General features: G+C 41.9%; 1 protein-coding gene and 1 pseudogene across 3 annotated transcripts in view; one reads left to right on the top strand and one right to left on the bottom strand.

The window, feature by feature from the left end:
- Positions 1 to 20,377, top strand: part of NRDC (nardilysin convertase) — an 89,518-nt gene that overhangs the window by 17,362 nt on the left and 51,779 nt on the right. The gene's annotated exons all lie outside the window — the stretch shown is intronic.
- On the bottom strand, positions 1,143 to 1,591 carry TSEN15P2 (tRNA splicing endonuclease subunit 15 pseudogene 2; annotated as a pseudogene).

The following is a 20,377-nucleotide window of genomic DNA, read 5'->3' as shown; positions in this document are numbered from 1 at the left end:
AGAGCAAGACTTTGTCTCAAAAAAAAAAAAAAGAAGAAGAAGAGATTTGATTATCTCTGTGGCAGAGTGAGACCCTGTCTCAAAAAAAAAAAAAAAAAAAGTAATACCACTTGGGCAGCCGGGTGCAGTGGCTCACGCCTGTAATCCTCATACTTTGGAAGGCCAAGGTGGGTGGATCACCTGAGGTCAGGAGTTTGAGACCAGCCTGGCCAACGTGGTGAAACCCCATCTCTGCTAAAAATACAAAAATTAACTGGGCATGGTGATGCCCGCCTATAATCCCAGCTACTCGGGAGGCTGAGGCAGGAGAATCACTTCACCATGGGAGGCGGAGGTTGCAGTGAGCCAAGCTCATGCCACTGTATTCCAGCTTGGGTGACAGATCGAGACTCTGTCTCAAAAAAAAAAAAAAAAGAAGTAATACCACTTGGAACATCTTTGTGCATATAATTTTTCATACTCTGGACAACTTAATTGGGAAATATTAACAAAAGTAAAATAGGTCTAATTAATAAAGATGTTTTTAAGGCTGATAGTGTCCCACACTATCTCTCTTGTAATATTCTAGCTACTATATTATAAAGGTGGTGGTAAGAAGAGAAAGGAAGGTTCTTGTAGGTAGCACTTCTCTGTTCCTTATTATTCTAGACACGTAAGTTTATACTGTGAATAAACATATTTTCGGTTTTGATTTAAAGTCACCCCCAGAAAAGTAATAGTAATTGCAACAGGAAGACCAATTGGAAGAAAGCTTTTACTTTCTACTGGGGATGAAAAAGTAGATAGAAGTAAACTCTCCCGGTGACCAAGGTGTATGAAATGCCATTTTAAGCTAGCTGTAGTGGCCAGAAGGCACTGGGAGAGTCGAGTAAGAGAAAGAGGTGGCAGTCTCTATAATGAGCTAGCTGCAGCAGCAATGAACACAGAGGCAGCTATGAGTGTGAATGATAGACATAAGTCTGTATACAACTGTAGTTAAACTGTCTCCAGATAAGAAAGTTCTAGAGCAACTATCCTATATTTTTGAAGAAAAAACAATTCTATCTGGGGAAGTTTTATTCTTCAGAAAGAAAAACTTACGGAATGGGAAAATCAACCCTATCTAAATCAACCCTGACTAGTCAACCCAAGTCAACTCTGAGTATCTCTGAGGTGAAAGATGAAGCATGCTGATGGGTGTCAAATCCAATCTTGTATGAATAAAATAAGCATCGGGGAAGCATAGATGTCATCTTCTAAGGCAAACATTCTGAGGATCTGGCAGCATAAATCCATCAGTTAATTTATAATATAATTGGACACCACTATGGCCAAAGTAAAAGACACGGCCAAATCTGGATCACCTTACAATTTTCAAGATGCTTTCAAGATCCCCCTTGTCCTGTTATGGCTGAGGGAAGCAGTGATGGGAGTAGGCACCATAGTCTGTAACCCCTCCCCTTCTGTCTCGGTACAGACAAAGCAGATAAGCTGGGGCTCTGGTAATCTTACACAGTTTACTTCATGCCAATTTTTATGCTCCATGAGATCCAGGTAAACTGAGAATGCTGTGCATCTCCTACATCTAACTACATCATTTCTAAATACTTAGAAATATTTTAAGTTTTAATACTTAGAAGTATTTTAAGTTACCGTAAAGACTTTGAAACTGTGACACAGGTACCCTCCCCTCTGATGTTTTTCCTAGTCATCCTGGGTCTCAGGTAGCCACATGGCACCCAAGATGGGTATGAAGGGCAGGTCCTGTCTGAGTCCTGAATTTACGCACAGCTGTAGACCTCATGACAGAAGACAGAAATGGGAAGACATTGCCTGGAGGACGGAACCCTCCCAAAATAGCCAGGAGGCAAAGCTAGGGCAGGGGAAAAGGGGATATATTGGGCTTGATTCTGCCTTGCAGCTGGTGGCCTAGGCATTGAGAATGTGTCCTCATGCCTCACTGTGGGCATACATCCAGACCTCTGACTCCAGAGGCTCAAAACCAAAAACAAGCAAGCAAGTATCAAATTATATTTAACTGATAATTTTGAAGCCATTTCTATTTTAGTAACAATTTACAACTACCTTTATTTACTAAATATTACATACAAGTAACACATATAGACACAGACACAAAGACAGAAGCAGATATTATAGCTTACATAAAGGATTGTCATTTGCTGGCTTTTGAATAGTTTTTCTTTTCCCCATTCAGACTATCATTCTTCCATTACCTGTTTCATTGCCCTAAGGAGTTGTTAGCTAGGCAACCTTAAATTTGCATTTCTAATGGGACAACTCTTAGGTGAAATAAGGTAGAAAATTTATATCTCAAAAGCACAACCTAAGACTTTAGGCGTACATATTGTACCCTCATTTGCTCAAACCAAGGAAAAAATGATGTGAGTAAAAAATTTCAGTTAAGATGTCCAGAAAAGCACCTTAAACAAAGGTTTGACTTGTTACATAAATTTAAAACTATGGTAAAAGTTTCTAATATACACAGGCAGACACCCTTACAAATGGAGATTTCCTTTATAGATGTAAATTTCTTTTACAGAAGAGTTTCAGGATAGCCAGTTAAATGCCAGGAAGGTATATTTTAGTTGGGTAGGTGGTTTATTTGACTTAGCTACTGTTTCTTGGCTAAAATTACTGAGTTCAGGGTAGATGGAGCCCATTGAGGAATAGGGCAAAGAAAACAGTACTCTGTGCTTGGACTCAGACTGGATAGATCTAAAAAAGAAGCAAGTCTGCTTTACCCACTGGTTTACATTTTATCAACATTTTATCCAGGATATCGTTATTTTCACTCTTGAGGCAGGATAGTGTTTATGCCAAAAGTTTAGCAGATTTAATTATTCTTGTGAATTATTCACCTGAGCTTTTTATTTGCCTTTTTTTTTTTTTTTTTTAAAGACAGGGTTTCCCTCTGTGTAATCACAAAGGCACAGTCACAGCTGATTTGCAGCCTTTACCTCCTGGGCTCAAGTGAATTTCCCACCTCAGCCTCCTGAGTAGCTGGAACTACAGGTGTACACCACCACATCCAGCTGATTTTTAATTTTTTGTAGAGAGGAGATCTCACTATGTTGCATAGGCTTGTCTTGAACTGCTGTGCTCAAGCGATCTTCCTGCTTTGATCTCCCAACGTGTTGGGATTACAGGCATGAGCCACCACACCTGGCCCTATTTGCCTTTTATGAAGTCTTTTAATAAAGCAATAAAAATATTGAAATGTTTTTAGAAGCTTCTGCACATCAATAGGCATCCTTGAAGACTAATTCAGGACCCCTCATTTTTAAGTGCTGTGTTGTTCATTAGGAACGGTCCATTGTAATTTTAAGTTACAAAGATTTTGCCATTTCTGTAAGTAGTTATTTCTTCTGAGGCCTAATATTTATACATTCTACCTTATAGCTAGAAGGTAGAATACGGTGTTCTTCAGATACTAAGGATCCAATATTTCCCTAGAATCCTGGATTTGGTCCTCAGATCCCCTTCATCAATTTAGTTAATGATTTTTCCCTACCTAAGGGTACAAGAAAAAGAATGTAGAACACAAAAATCTCTGCAAATTTCTGAAGTCTGCACCCACTGTAATATTACCATTTCTGCTAGTTTCTGCCTGATCCTGGACATCTGCAGCCTCTTAACTGAATCCAAGTCAGTTAATTATCAGATCCAATCCAATCATGGATCCAGTCCAGTTTCTGTTGTGACTTCCAAACCCAGTTCGGATCAGAAGTTTGCTCAAACTCGGTTCCAAACAGAAATCTGTCGAGCTTCAGAATCTCAGCGAGAACTTACCACGATATCAGTTGCTTCCAGAAAGCAATGGACATCGTGAGTCTGAGGGGTACCTTGCTTGGTCACTCCATGCTCCTGGGCATGACATCTGTTGAAAACCTTAGACATATTAAATTTAACAGAGTTTAACTGAGCAAAGAATGATTCACAAATTGGGTAGCCCAGGAACCAGAATAGGTTCAGAGAGGCTCTGGTGCAGTCCCATGATTGAAGATTTATGGACACAAAAAGGAAAGTGATGTACAGAAAACAGAGATGAGGTACAGAAACAGCCAGATTTGTTACAGTTCGGGCATTTGGAGTATTTGAACATAGTTTGAACAGTTGGCTGCCTTTGATTGACTGAAACTCGGTAATTAGCACAAAAGTAGGTTACGATCTGTTTATACATCTAGTTAAGTTTCAGTTCACTGTGTACAGAGAAACCTTTAGGCCAAACTTAAAATATGTAAGGAGGTGGCTTTAGGTTAGACTTAATTTAACAGATGTTATATATATTGGTTTTCATCCACTGTTCCTGTCTTGTAACTCCCATAGCCCTTGTTAAAGTCTTTTTGTTACAATGTTGGGTGTGTCAGGTCTCATGTGTCTAGACTTAATTTAACAAATGTTACATATATTGGTTTTCATCCATTGTTCCTGGCTTGTAACTCCCATAGCCCTTGTTAAAGTCTTTTTGTTACAATGTTGGGTGTGTCAGGTCTCATGGGCAGGCCTCAGGAAACAGAATTTCTCAGACTTTCTCCTATCCATCTCTCATCTGCCCCAAGACAAGACCCTATAATCTTCCCTGCCTTTCTGATTGGGAGTTATAAGACCCTCCTCAGAGGGCGTCCCACCCTATCCTTGGAGGAAGGAATGCTGATATTTTGAAATTTCCATAAAAACCCAGGAGGACTAGGTTCCAGAAGCTTCAGGATGGCTCAACACGTGGAGGTTCTTGGAGGGTGGCCTGCACAGGAAGGGCATAGAAGCCCTGTGCCCCTTCCCCCATACCTCACTCTGTGCATCTCTTTATCTGTAATATCCTTTACAATAAACCAGTAAATGTAAGTGTTTCCCAAAGTTCTGTGAGCCCTCCAGCAAATTAATCAAACCCAAAGAGGAGGTCGTGGGAACCCCAACTTGAAAGCCGGTAAGTCAGAAGTTCCAGAGGTCTGGACTTGAAACTGGTATGTTTGTTTGTTGGCAGGGCAGTCTTGGGGACTGAGCCCTCATCCTGGGGGATCTGATGCTATTTCCAGGTAGTGTTGGAGCTGATTTGGAGGACACCCAGTTGGTGTCCACTGAAGAATTAATTGCACGGATTTGGTCACAGAAGACTTTGGTTGCTGACCATTGTAGTAGTATGAGAGAAAAAGAAAAACCGTTTGAGAGTTTTTCCTAGAAATGAAATACCTAGAAATGAAATTACTGAATGAAAAGTATTCAGAGTTTCCATTAAAAATAAAAATGGCTGTATTTCCCTACAAGAATGTGATACCATTTGAGATTCATCAGAAATGTGTGAGAATAATCTGTCCACTTATCAGCACTGGATAGCAATTGTTTTTATTTTTTGTTTAGTTAATTTGTTGGATGAAAAATATTTCATTAAGTTGATTGTCTTTTATTTCTAGTGAGATTGCGCATCATTTTATTTGACATCTTGTGTTCTTGTAATGTGTGTAGTATATATTATTATTATCATTATTATTTTTTTTTGACACAGAGTCTCCATCTGTCACCCATGCTGGAGTGCCATGGCGCAATCTTGGCTCACTGCAACCTCTTCCTCCCTGGCTCAAGTGATCCTCCAGCCTCAGACACCTGAGTAGCTGGGATTACAGGGGTGCGTCACCATACCTAGCTACTTTTTTTTGTATTTTTTGTAGAGACAGGGTTTTGCCATGTTGGCCAGGCTGTATAGCACATATTTTTAAGCTTATTTTTTAATAGGGTTTTTTTCTCTTAATGATTTGAAGGAACTCTTACATGTTGTTAGTTTTTCCTCCCAGTATGCAATTTGCTGTTTGATTTTGTTTATGATATTGTTTTATAAAAACTTAAAATTAGTATACAGTGAACTCTTTTCATTTTTTTTTTCTTTATAAGGGCTTGGATTTTTTATCTTGTTTGGTACAAATTTTCTTCACCCAAATATTATACCAATTTTTTTTTCTTAAATAAAAACATTCTTTCCTTTTAGCTCTGTTATAGAACTGAACTTGGGTCTGCTCGCCTGGCACAATAAGGACATAACCACACTGAGGTTTTGCAGCAGTAGAAAGGAAGGCATTTATTTTCAGGATGCTACGCAAAGAGGACCAGGTAGCTAATGCTTAAATCCTGACCTCCCCGATGATTTGCAGGTAAGGGTTTTTAAAGGCAGTGGTAAATTTCTGGATAGCAGAAGTTACAGACAAAATCATAAACCATACATGGAGGGTTACACACTGATTTTGGCCTAAAAGGTTGGGATATCTTGAAGCAGTGGTGTATAGGTCATAGGTACAGTAGAAGATTTTCTGATTTGCAGTTGGTTAAGGAGGCAAAGCTTTTTCTAAAAATTTGAGATCAGCAGAAAAGAATGTTAGCACTGGCTCATGGGTATAACCTTCTCCAGGCCCCTCAGAAAGAAATTTAGAACAAAGAAGGGGAGTCAGAGTTCAGTCCCCAGTTCCTCTCTATATGAGGTTGCTGTGCTGGCAGATCCTTTTGGTGTGGGCACAGGTTTCTGAAAAACAACTGGAGACATGTTAAGGTATTATCTTTAGTTTTTATAGGGAAGCAAACATTCTTGTGACTCTTAACTTCCTTGGCTATTTTTGTTGTTGTTAGAGATGGGGTCTCGCTATGTTGCCCAGACTGGTCTTGAACTCCTGGCCTCAAGTGATCCTCCCACCTTGGCCTCCCAAAGAGTTGGGATTACAGGTGTCAGCCACCATGCTGGGCCAGCTTGGCTGTTGTTACTGTTACCTGCTTGTTTATCAAGTTGCACATTTATTTTTCAGGGCTAGCTAGGTGCCTGAAGTTTCCTTTGAAATAACTGAAGATTTTCCTTTTTTCTATGCTTGGGGTCCCTGCGTCATCTCAATTCCCCATCTTTTGTCACCCATCAATCTTGTGGGGTACTGGGGTGCAGACTGCTCTGCCTACTTCCTGTTGAATTGGGGCAAAGATTGAGGACTAGGATATGAGGATATTAAGTTTCTTTTCTTTATTTTTTTGAGATGGCATCTTGCTCTGTCGCCCAGGCTGGAGTGCAGTGGCATGATCTCGGCTCACTGTAACCTCTGCCTCCTGGGTTCAAGCGATTCTTCTGCCTCAGCCTCCTGAGTAGCTGGGACTACAGGTGTGCACCTCTACGCCTGGCTATTTTTTGTATTTTTAGTAGAGACAGAGTTTCCTCATATTAGCCAGGCTGGTCTCAAACTCCTGACCTCGTGATCCACCCGCCTCGGCCTCCCAAAGTGCTGGGATTACAGGTGTGAGCCACCGCCCCTGGCTGAGGATAGTAAGTTCCTAGCACGGAATTCAAGGTATCCATGAGTCCCAGGCATGGCACCATGGTGCTGAACTGTCATTATTTGTATTAGTCACTGCTTTATTACATTTTAACACACATTTGGTTATGATATAAAGCACAAGAAAAATTAGCAAGATTGATATGCATAACTTTAGCAATCCAGAAAACATGGATTTTATTCCATGAGGAATCCAAGAAAAGAAAGAAGAAAACCAGTCCTTAGGGACAGTCAGGGAGATCTGTTGTAACCAAGTGACTTGTTCTCTAATTTATTTTAGATGAGTTTCTACCTCAGCAGATTCATTTATATAAGTATTGCATGTGGGATTTGCAACCATACACACTCCTCCCTGCTTGGCTAAGATGTAATCTAAGGCTATCCTATTATCTAAGACACCTGAGCCAATGAATTAATTCTTTTCTGCTAGACAGCTATTGCTGCTGAAGTTTCCTTAGCAAGAATTCCTAAAGAGAGAGATTTCTAATCATGTGCTCATAGGATGCCACTCCCCACCAAGGTAACAAAGTCCATCCAAAGAAATAACCCGCATCCATCTTTTTAGTACCTGGGCAAGAATAGATTTGTGGATCCCAAAGTGAGTATGTGGACTTGTTTACTTTTAATGAGTTAATTTACTTGCAGCTAAGATACGGGATTTCTGACATGTTTAGAGAGCAGACTTCTAAGGAGGGAGCAGGGCTCTTGCTCCTCTCAAGAGGCAAAATCAAGTAAGCCTTTTATATAGAGGCAGAGTCTCATTATTTCTGGCAAATTTGTTTGAAGCTTCAAGTGAAGGGACTTCCAAAATAAAGGAATTCTTTTATATAATATATATATATATATTTTTTTTTGGAGACAGTCTCCCTCTGTCACCCAGGCTGGAGTGCCATGTCTTGGCTCACTGCAACCTCCGCCTCCCAGGTTCAAGCGATTCTCCTGCCTCAGCCTTCCGAGTAGCTGAGATTACAGGCACACGCCACCACATCTGGCTAATTTTTTTGTATTTTTAGTAGAGACAGGGTTTCACCATGTTGGTCAGGCTGGTCTCGAACTCCTGACACCATGATCTACCCGCCTCGGCCTCCCAAAGTGCTGGGATTATAGGCATGAGCCACCGTGCCTGGCCAGGAATTCTTTTATGTAATATTCTGAAAGGGGCCCTCAGATTATGATGATTGAAGGAACTTGAGTATCATTGTTCTATTAGCTGGGTCAGATGATATATCTATAGGTTACCTGTCTTTGTCAACGTCTCAGAAATTCTAATTATAAAATTGCCCTTTTAATTTGGGAGGATGAAAGTCCACAAGGAAGCATAACAAAAAGGCAATTATATTTATAGTTCAGTGTGATCACCTGAAGTAATTAAGACTCCAGGGCAGCACACAGAATTTGCTAAGCCAGTAGTAGACAGAGAAAATAAGAAAAGTGGCCGGGCATGGAGGCTCACATAAAAAACTATAAAAAACTATATATAAAACTATTAAAAAAACTATAAATATATAAAACTATTAAAACTATATATATAAACTATAGTTTAAAACTATATAAATATAGTTTTAAGGCCTCATATACATGTTATATATAATGTATATATAGTTATAGTTATATAATTTTATATATATAGTTATATATACATACACAAATATGGCCTAAATATTAGTTTTAATTAGACTTTTGAGTATAGAGTTCTTAAAAAAATATCCTTTCAAATCTCTTACTATCAGATTTTTAGCTGGGACAAACAGTTGATATTTCTGGCTTTTGAACTCTTTTCACCCCAAAGATATTCTCCCCCATGAAACTAAGAAGCGTTAGCCAGGGTTATGACTTCAACAAGGACACATGAGGTCTCGAAAGAGGTGGAAAGCAGTTTTCACAAGATTCAGAGCTGCCCCAAAGACAGCTTAAAGAGAGGAAAATTTCGTCAGCCATAAATGGAGTACAGACCACATTTCTGTTTGGCCATATTCTCTAGAGCCTCAGTTTCTCAGCTGACCATTCACACACACAACGTGTACCAAAAAGCATACCAAAAAACCTGTAGGCTGCCCCCCTCACAGATGGAGGACAGGAAATCAAAAGCTGCCCATAGAAGGAAAAAGGAACGATAAATGGCAAAAGTCACACAAATATTAAACCAAAAAATGATGTGTTCCTTGGCTGGGAATTCAACCCAGGCAGCCTCAGTGCTTTACCACTGCTGTTCCTGGAGGGGATCTAAAGCAGGCAGTTTTGAGCTTGCAAAGGATTTTAACCTTGTTTTAGGTGAGATATTTGTTCTTTAATTTAGTCAAGTGAATTCTCAAGGCTAGTCATGACACTATTAAGTGTCCTTTGTAAAATTTGTTTAGAAAATAACTTTTTTTTGTAAAAGCAATTGTTTAGAGAGATGCCTGAGATTATTTTAAAATTTAGGGGTCCAGTTTAAAGGTTCCCCTTTTCAGGCTTTTTTCTGGAGTCTTAAAAAATACTGTGGCCAAGCACTACTGCAATTAAAAAAAAATCATTTTTTTTTTTTCCTTGGGCCCAAATCTAAAAATGGCCCAATTCTGCAGAATACACCCTAATGGGCTACAAAGGAAATAGAACTTGTGTTTCTCAAATGAAACAAAACCCTGGACAAGGCATTAAAGGTTTGTCGCAAAACCTAGGTGACAAACCTTTAATGCCTTGGCCAGGTGTTAAGTATTAAATAGATTTTCAAGCAAGTAAATCACAATCAAATTGTGATTTTTCAAGGTTTCAGTCTTCAGCTCTGGGATATCTCCCACCAAGTGCATTCTGATGAAGTAGAGCCCAATACCTTGCTGAAGCAAGGCTGGATTTCCTGCTGAAAGGAAAAATACTATGGGGCTATCACACATCAACCCCCCACTTACCAAAAGACATCTTCTCAGGTGATTTATTTCTAATGCTGTGAAAGTAGAAGCACCACAGGCCAACGGTGTCTGATTGCCTGCCAAATACACGGATCTGTCCCTGAATAAAATAATTCAGGCAGCTGCTGGATTGGGCCCAAGGGTGGCTGCGGCCAGGGACTTATGTGGTACAGATGAGGCACCCACTCCAGACTTTTGTCCCATTTTGGTTGCCGGTGTTTAGAGAACCAAACCGGAGTTGGCTCACCCAGTCCAATAAGGCCAGATATCCACACCAAGATTTTGCAGTGGTAGAAAGGAAGGCATGGTGTTTATTTACAGGGTGTCAAGCAAGGAGGACCAGGTGACTAACCCTTAAATTCTGACCTCCCCTATGATTTGCAGGTAACAGTTTTTAAAGGCAGGGGTAAATTTCAGGATAGCAGACGAGTTCAGTACCCAGTTCCTCCTTATCTGAGGTCTGTGTGCCCGCAGATCCTTTTGCTGGGAGTTCAGGTTTCTGAAAAACAACTGAAGTGACAGATGTTGAGATGTTATCTTTAGTTTCTGTAGGGAAGCAAACGTTCTCATGACTCTGACTTCCTTGGCTATTTTAAAGTTACTATTACTTGCTTATTAAGTTGCATGTTTACTTTCCAAGGCTAGCTAGGTGCCAGAAATTTCCCTTGAAAGAACTTAATATTTTCTTGTATTTCTATGCTTAGGGGCCCACAGGCCCTTAAAAGGTGTCCCTGTTCTGTTTCAGCTCTAAGTAATCTGGAATTTATATATGTTGAAGGTAAGGTAGACATGGCTATTTTTTCCTCACTAAATGAGTAGCCTATTGTTTGAGCATCATTTGTTGAGTTGTGGTAGTAAATGGCATTGTAACAGTATTATATACACTGCTCTGTTTTTAGAAACTCTTGGCTTTCATTGATCTGTTGGTGTTCCTGTTAGTACTTCAGCTTCATTTCAGTCACCTTAAAAGTCTGTATTTTTATTTATTTATTTATTATTATTTTTTTTTGAGATAGAGTCTCGCTCTGTTGCCCGGGCTGGAGTGCAGTGGTGTAATCTTGGCTCACTGCAACCTCCGCCTCCTGGGTTCAAGTGATTCTTGTGCCTCAGCCTCCAGAGTAGCTGGGATTACAGGCACGCACCACCAACCTGGCTAATTTTTGTATTTTTAGTAGCGAAGGGTTTCGCCATGTTGGGCAGGCTGATCATGAACTCCTGGGCTCAAGTGATCTGCCTGCCTTAGCCTCCCAAAGTGCTGGGATTAGAGGCGTGGGCCACTACACCCAGCCTAAAGTCTGTATTTTTATACCTGGTAAGGCAGTTCCTTCCCCTTGTTCTTCCTTTCCTTTTCTTTCTTTTTTTTTGTTTTTGAGACAGAGTCTCGCTCTGTCGCCCCGGCTGGAGTGCAATGGCGCGATCTCGGCTCACTGCAAGCTCCGCCTCCCTGGTTCACACCATTCTCCTGCCTCAGCCTCCCGGGTAGCTGGGACTACAGGTGCCAGCCACCATGCCCGGCTAATTTTTTGTATTTTTAGTAGAGACGGGGTTTCACCGTGTTAGCCAGGATGGTCTTGATTTCCTGACCTCGTGATCCATCCACCTCCACCTTCCAAAGTGCCGGGATTACAGGCGTGAGCCACCGTGCCCGGCCATCTTTTTCAAAATGTTCTTGGCATTTTTGTGTGTTTTGGTCCACATGAATTTTAGAATCAGTATGTCAAGTTCCACAAAAAAATCTTGTTGGGTTTTTTTTGTTTTGTTTTGTTTTTTTGAGAAGGAGTCTTGCCCTGTCGCCCAAGTTGTAGTGCAGTGGCGGGATCTCGGCTCACTGCAAGCTCCGCCTCCCGAGTTCACGCCATTCTCCTGTCTCAGTCATTCTCCTGCCTCAGCCTCCCGTATAGCTGGGACTACAGGCGCTCACCACCATGCCTGGCTATTTTTATTTTTATTTTTTTGTATTTTTAGTAGAGACGGGGTTTCACTGTGTTAGCCAGGATGGTCTGGATCTCCAGACCTTGTGATCCGCCCGTCTCGGCCTCCCAAAGTGCTAGGATTACAGGCGTGAGCCACCGCATCCGGCCCTTGTTGGGGTTTTTTATGGGAATTGCCTTGAATTTATAGATTAATTTGGGGGAAGAATTGGTATCTTTATAATATTGGATGTTCCCACCCAGTAATATAGTATGACTGTTTAGTGAGGTCTTTCATTTCACCTGTAAAGTTTTCCTAATGTTGGCTGTTTAGTAGTATTGAAAAGAATGTGTTCTAGTGTCATGCTACTTAGAGTCGGTCTTTGCTAAGCCACAATAAGGTTGGGCAAATAACAGACCTTTTTTGTGCTTCAGTTTCCTCATCCATAAAATGGGAATAACTCATCAGGATTATTGTGAAGATTAACTGGGTTAAGACATGTAAGTTAATACATTAAAAATGTGAGCTATTGTTATTAGGTATATTTATGCATTTTATAGTTTATATTGCTTTGGCCAAAGGGATTTTAAAAAAATCTTACTTTGATGTATAGGAAAGCTACTGATTTTTGTTTATAGTTCTTTGATTTTGGCTACTTTGCTGAATTCTATTTATTAATAATAGTTTTTGGGTTTTGTTTTTGGTAATTCTCTTGTTCTAGGTAATAATATGTTTTGCAGTGATTTGTTTTAGCTTTCGATATTTGTACCTTATTATTATTATTATTATTTTTTGAGACGGAGTCTCGCTCTGTCATTCAGGCTAGAGTGCCGTGGCGCTATCTCGGCTCACTGCAAGCTCCGCCTCCCGGGTTCACGCCATTCTCCTGCCCCAGCCTCCTGAGTAGCTGGGACTACAGGCGCCTGCCACCACGCCTGTCTAATTTTCTTTTTTTGTATTTTTAGTAGAGACGGGGTTTCACTGTGTTAGCCAGGATGGTCTTGATATTCTGACCTTGTGATCCGCCCGCCTTGGCCTCTCAAAGTGCTGGGATTACAGGCGTGGGCCACCGCGCCCCACCGTAATTATTTTTTATTTATATACATTTTGCATCTTTTTTCATTTATTAGGACCTCCAATATAATATTGAATAGTAGTGACGATAAAGGACATTTTGTTCATGACTGTCTTTAAAATGGATTTGATGTTGATTTATAGACGTGATCCTCCATAAAGCTAAGGGCTTTATGTGTAGGTTCTTAATTTGCTAAGGAGTGAGTTGTGTATTTTTACAAAATCATTTTTATTGTACAAATCATAAATGAATATTTTTTATTACAAAATGAGAGGTGACAGCGTGCTGGCAGCCCTCACAGCCCTCGCTTGCTCTTGGCGCCTCCTCGGCCTCGGTGCCCACTCTGGCTGTGCTTGAGGGGCTCTTCAGGCCGCCGCTGCACTGTGGGAGCCCGTTCCTGGGATGGCGGAGGCTGGAGCCGGCTCCCTCAGCCTGCGGGGAGGTGTGGAGGGAGAGGCACGGGCGGGAACCGGGGTTGCACGAGGGGCTTGTGAGCCAGCTAGAGTTCCAGGTGGGCGTGGGCTTGGCGGGCCCGCACTCAGAGTGGCCGCTGGCCCCTGGCAGTGAGGGGCTTAGCACCCAGGCCAGCAGCTGCGGAGGGTGCGTCAGGTCACCCAGCAGTGCCAGCCCACTGGCGCTGCGCTCGATTTCTCGCCGGGCCTTAGCTGACTCCCCGCAGGGCAGGGCTCGGGACCTGCAGCCCGCCGTGCCTGAGCCTCCCACCCCGCCGTGGTCTCCTGCACTCCCCGAGCCTCCCCAACGAGCGCCGCCCCCTGCTCCACGGCGCCCAGTCCCATCCATCGCCCAAGGGCTGAGGAGTGCGGGCGCAAGGCAGGGGATTGGCAGGCAGTTCCACCTGCTGGCCCGGTGCTGGATCCACTGGGTGAAGCCAGCTGGGATCCTGAGTCTAGTGGGGACTCGGAGAACCTTTATGTCTAGCTGGGGGGATTGTGGATACACCAGTCAGCACTCTGTGCCTAGCTCGAGGTTAATGAACACACCAATCAGCACCCTGTGTCTAGCTCAGGGTTTGTGAATTCACCAATCAGCACTCTGTGTCTAGCTCAAGGTTTGTAAATGCACCAATCTGCACTCTGTGTCTAGCTGATCTGGTGGGGACTTGGAGAACCTTTATGTCTAGCTAAAGGATTGTGAATGCACCAATCGGCACTCTGTGTCTATCTCAAGGTTTGTGAATGCACCAATCAGCACTCTGTGTCTAGCTCAGGGTTTGTAAATGCACCAATCAGCACTCTGTATCTAGCTAATCTAGTGGGGAGGTGGAGAACTTTTGTGTCTAGCTCAGGAATTGTAAACACACCAATCAGCATCCTGTCAAAATGGACCAATCAGCTCTCTGTAGAACAGACCAATCGGCTCTCTGTAAAATGGACCAATCAGCAGGATGTGGGTGGGGCCAGATAAGAATAAAAGCAGGCTGCAGGCTCCTGGGGTGATAACCCACTTGGGTCGAGTTCCATCGCTGTTGGCGATAAATCTTGTTGGTGTTCACTTTTTGGGTTCTCACTACCTTTATGAGCTATAACACTCACCCTGAAGGTCTGCAGCTTCACTCCTGAAGCCAGCGAGAGTACGAACCCACAGGCAGGAAGAAACTCTGAACACATCCGAACATTGGAAAGAACAAACTCCAAACAAGCCGCTTTTAAGAACTGTAACACTCACCGCGGGGCTCCGCGGCTTCATTCTTGAAGTCAGTGAGACCAAGAACCCAACAATTCCAGACACAAAAAGAGTGAAAATGTTTTAAGAATTATAAAGTGTCGGCTGTGCACGGTGGCTCATGTCTGTAATTCCTGCACTTTGGGAGACCGAGGCGGGTGGATCACTTGAGGTCAGGAATTTGAGACCAGCCTGGCCAACATGGTGAAAACCCCGTCTCTATTAAAAATAAAAAAATTAACCAGGTGCGGTGGTGCACGCCTGTGGTCCCAGCTACCCGGGAGCTTAAGGCAGGAGAATCACTTTGAACCTGGGAAGTGGAGGTTGCAGTGAGCCGAGACGGCACCACTGCACTCCAACCTGGGCGTCAGAGTGAGGCTTGGTCTCAAAAAAAAAAAAATTATAAAGTGTAAAATATCTTTGTATCTCTAGTTTTTCTCCTTTCCCCAGATATATACATTACCATTCCATTTGATTTGTGTACTTTTAGTTCTGTTGTTGTAACTTTATATGCATTTAATGGATACATGTTGTACACATAGCTTTCTTTTTTTTTTAAATTAGGTGTTAGATTTTGTCTCATTTTGTTTCATTAAGTAGATATTAAGTACCTACTATGTATCAGGTCCCCTCCAGGCGTTAACATTCTTTTGTTTATTCAATATCTGTTTATTAAATGTTTGGTATATATATGCCTGGTGTTGTCCCAGGATATAGCTGTGAAGGAAAGAAAAGCTCTGTCCTCAGAGATAACATTCTAATGGTGCAGGCAGAAAATAAAATCAAGTAATGATAAATGGTGCGAAGAAGGTTAAAGTAGGATAAAAGAGAATAGAAATGGGCGAAAGAGCTATTTTAGGTAGTGTGGTCAGAGAAGGCATTTCTGAAAACGGGACATTTCTTTTCTTTTCTTTTCTTTTTTTTGTGACGGAGTCTCGCTCTGTCGCCCAGGCTGGAGTGCTGTGGTGCAATCCTGGCTCACTGCAACCTCCGCCTCCCGGGTTCGAGTGATTCTCCTGCTTCAGCTTCCTGAGTAGCTGGGACTACAGGCGTATGCCACCACACAAGCTAATATTTGTATTCTTAATAGAGTCGGGTTTTCGCCATTGTTGGCCAGGCTGGTCTTTAACTCCCGACCTCAAGTGATCTGCCCGCCTTGGCCTTCCGAAGTGCTGGGATTACGGGTGTGAGCCACTGCGGCCGGGCCAAAAGGAGACATTTCATGAAAGACTTGAAAGAGGTAGAGCAGTCGGGCACATACTTTATCTGGGTCAAGGGCCCCTAAGGCCAACAGAACAGCAAGCACGAAGGCCCTGGACTGAGAGTCTGTTGGCAGTGTTTAGGAAACAACAATAAAGTCATTTGTTTAGAGCAAACAGAATGAAGGAAGAGTAGTGGGAAAGAAGGTTGGAGAGGTAAATGAGAACGAGATTATGTTGAGCATTGTATAGGCCATGGTAAGGATTTTGGATTTTAAGTATGATGGGAAGCCAATGATGAATTTTGAAAAGGGAAATGGCCTTGTATTAATTTGCTAAGGCTGCCATAACAAAATATCAAAGACAGAGTAGCTTAAATAACAGCTCTGGGGTCTAGAAGTTCAAGATCAAGCTGTCAGCCTATTTGGTTTCCTTCCTTCCTTCCTTCCTTCCTTCCTTCCTTCCTTCCTTCCTTCCTTCCTTCCTTCCTTCCTTCCTTCTTTCCTCCCTCCCTCCCCCCTCCTCCCCTTCCCCCCTCCCCCCTCCCTCCGTCCCTCCCTTCCGGAATTCCTTTCTTCCTGAGTCTTGCTCTGTCGCCCAGGCTGGAGTGCAGTGGCGCCATCTCGGCTCACTGCAGCCTTCGCCTCCCGGGTTCAAGCAATTCTGCCTCAGCCTCCCGAGTAGCTGAGACAGACTACAGGCACGCGCCGCCATGCCTGGCTAATTTTTTTGTATTTTTAGTAGAGACGGGGTTTCACCATGTTGGCCAGGATGGTCTTGATATCCTGACCTCATGATCCGTCCTCTTCGGCCCTATTCGGTTTCTTCTGAGGCCTTTCTGGCTTGCGGTTGGCCTTCTCCTTGGTATCTCCTCACATGGTCTTTTCTCTGTGTGCACACATATCTGGTGTACCATCGTGTTTCCAAATTTCTTCATTTTATAAGGATACCATTCAGATTGGATTCAGACCTACTTTAGAGGCCTGATGTTTAGCTTAATTACCTCTTTAAAGGCCCTGTCTCTAAATACAATCACATCCTGAGGTAGTAGGGTTTAAGGATTCAACATAGGATTTTGGGGGGAACACATTTCAGCCCATAGCAGGGCTCATTTGCTTTACTTAGCCTGCTGAGAATTGACTTGAGGTGTGTTGGGGCGTCGGGGGATGGTGGTGGTGGAGGCGAGTATAGCCAGGGTATTGAGGTTAGAATGGAAACAGAGAGTTAGGAGGAGATTAGACACGATGACAACATGCTCTAAGGAAATAGCTGTAGAGTTGATGAGAAGTTATCAGAATTGTGATTTATTTTGAAAGTAGAATGCATAGGATTATTTTGATAGTAGATTTTTAGATTTTTTCTGTTCTGTTTATGAAAAATTTAAGCTGGAAAAAAAATGCACCTTACAAAGACCAAGTAAAGTTCCCCTTCCCTGGCTTTTTTTTTTTTTCCCCCAACCTGAGTTGGTATCTGATACAGATATTGGGACTACCTCAAACTGCTTCTCTATGATTCTGCATCTCTGAGATTCATCTTAGAATTTATTTCTGGACAGATTGTTCATATTCTTGGAAAATAGCTCTTGGATTTTAACTTGTCCTGCTGTTGGGTTGTGTAAGGGAGGAAAATAATTTTTTTCAACCCTCATAAGTTATTATTTGGAATGGTCCCCTGTAACAAAAGAAAAACAAATATAAGTTTGTTAACATGTATAATTCATAAATACATGGGAGATACTCAGAATGAGTTGGCTTTTAATTCCTGCTTATATAGTATCTTCAACAAATGTTTAGCAAAGTGTCAAGACAAAGAAAAAGGACTTTGAGTCTGTAGGGGCAGCAACTTGTAGAAAGGCAAATAATGGCAGGCAAAGCATAATTAGTAAACTTGTTAATGTGGATTCCTTTGGTGTCGTATCCAGACCAATACAGGTGTAAAGTTGTATTTGGTGGTTAACTTGTGTTCTTCCACGGTAAACAGGGGTTGGGTTTTTTTTTTTTTTTTTTAACCTTTTTTGTCTTTGGAGTAAATTTATGTCTTGCTTTTAGGCAAGTGGATAGCAGAGAGCTTTCCTGCATCTGCTTTTTAATTGCCTTCAGTTCAACAATCCTTATGCCAAGGAGGCATATTTAGAGGTGGCATATTGCTGTCTACTTCTGGTGGTCTTGAACATTTTAATCCCTCTGTATCCTTACATGTTGCCCTGCCCTCCCACCCCAACAAGTAGTTAGCTTTTTTTTTTTTTTTTTTTTTTGAGACAGGTTTTTGCTCTGTTGCCCAGGCTGGAGTGCAGTGGCATGAACGTGGCTCACGGCAACTTCCATGTCCCGGGCTTAAGCCATCCTCCCACCTCAGCCTCTGGAGTAGCTGGGACCATAGATACACCATGCCTAGCTAATTTTTGTATTTTTTTTTGTAGAGATGGGGTTTTGCCATGTTACCCAGGCTGATCTTGAACTCCTGGACTCCAGCAATCTACCTGCCTCGGCTTCCCAAAGTGCGGGGATTATAGGCGCAAGCCACTGTGCCCTGCCCTGTTTTGCATTTTGTGTTTATCATTCTTTTGCTTAAAAAAAGTTGGATATATATGTATACCTAAATAATATACTGTTTACTTTTGCTTGTTTTTTGGCATTATGTGAATGGTACTCATATAGTATTTTTTTGTGATTTGCTTTTTTCACTCATGTTTTTAAGATTAACCACTGTCGTAGTTTGTTGCTGAATTCTGTATTTCCCTGTGTTACAATATTCCACTGTGAAGAAAATTTTCATTATATGAATATACCACAGTTTTTTTATTCTGCTGTCAGTAGACTTGGATTGCTTCCAGTTTACATAATTGAGCTTATTGCCCTGAGGCTCTCTTTGCTCTTATTTATTGATCTGAAGCTTAGACTTTTTCTAGGGTTTCCTGGGAAGAACCAATATCTTACTACATGTTTATAGGTCTGTGGTTTTCTCCATTAATCTGATCAAATTTGCATGTCTTCTAATGATTTCTAAAAATTTGTAATCTGCTAACAGTGTCCTTTCCTGTTTTCTGTCTGTCATGATTTTATTTTCAAAAACCAAAAAAAAAAAAACCAAACATTTTTTCTATCACTTAAATGTGATTATTTTTTATTATTTATTTATTAATTTTTGGGACAGGGTCTCATTTTTCACCCAGACTGGAGTAAAGTGGCCCGATCTGGGCTCGCTGCAGCCTGGACCTCCTGGGCTCAAATCATCCTCCCAACCTCAGCCTCCTAAGTAGATGGGACTACAGGCGCATGCCACCATGCCAGGCTAATTTTTTGTATTTTTTGTAGAAATGAGGTTTCGCTACGTTGCCTGCTGGTCTTGAACTCCTGAGCTCCAAATGTGATTATTTTATATGGAAAGTAGATAAATCCCAGTGTTCAGTCTTCCATCTTAGGCCAAAGGTTCTCTTCCTTGTCTTTCTTTGCATGTTATTCTTAGTTTTTGCTTGACTTTTTAAGTGTACCTTGTCTTAGACGCCTTCCCTGACTGCTTGTTTCTTACATTCTGTATTTATCTCTGTCATTCTGTATTATACTGGCTCATCTCATTATTAGACAGTGAATGCCTGATGATGAGGAATTTTGTTTTATCCTTTTTATCCTTAATGCAGCATGATATCTGATATGTAAAGGGTGCTAAATAAATGTTTATTGAATAAATACATGAAAAAATTAGTATAAATGGGGCTGAATGCGATGGCTTATGCCTGTAGTCCCAGCACTTTGTGGGGCCAAGATGGGTGGATTGCTTGAGCCCAGGAGTTCAAGACCAGCTTGGGTAACATGGCAAAACCCTGTCTCTAAAAAAATACAAAAATTAGCCAGGTATGGTGGCCTGTGCCTGTGATCCCAGCTACTCTGGAGACTGAGGTGGGAGGATTGCCTGAGCCCAGGTGGTCGAGGCTGCAGTGAGCTGAGATCGTGCCACTGCACTCTAGCCTACACAACAGAGTGAGACCTTGTCTCAAAGAAAAAGGAAAAAAAAAATTAGTGTAAATGGGAGTGGTCTGTAATAGATACCTAGTCATCAAACTGGCACAGTAGTTTTGCAGATAAGAATCAGGAGCTTGAGATGGTGGCACATGCCTGTAATCCCAGCCACTCAGGAGGCTGAGGTGAGCTGCTTGAGCCCAAGAGTTTAAAATCAGCCTGGGCAGTAAAGCAAACTCTGTCTCAAAAAAAGCAGAATAATCTTCCTGCGGGGCTACCAGTCTGTGGGGGATTTCATTTTCATAGAGATATAACCACTTTTTAGTTCATAAAGGCAGCTTTGGAGACTGATATGTCAAACATTTTATAGAAA

Source organism: Homo sapiens, chromosome 1 (genome assembly GCF_000001405.40).
Source record: "Homo sapiens chromosome 1, GRCh38.p14 Primary Assembly".
In the NCBI taxonomy this organism is placed as follows: domain Eukaryota; kingdom Metazoa; phylum Chordata; class Mammalia; order Primates; family Hominidae; genus Homo; species Homo sapiens.
Note: the sequence above shows the minus strand (reverse complement) of the source record. Positions and strands in the feature narration are given on the sequence as shown.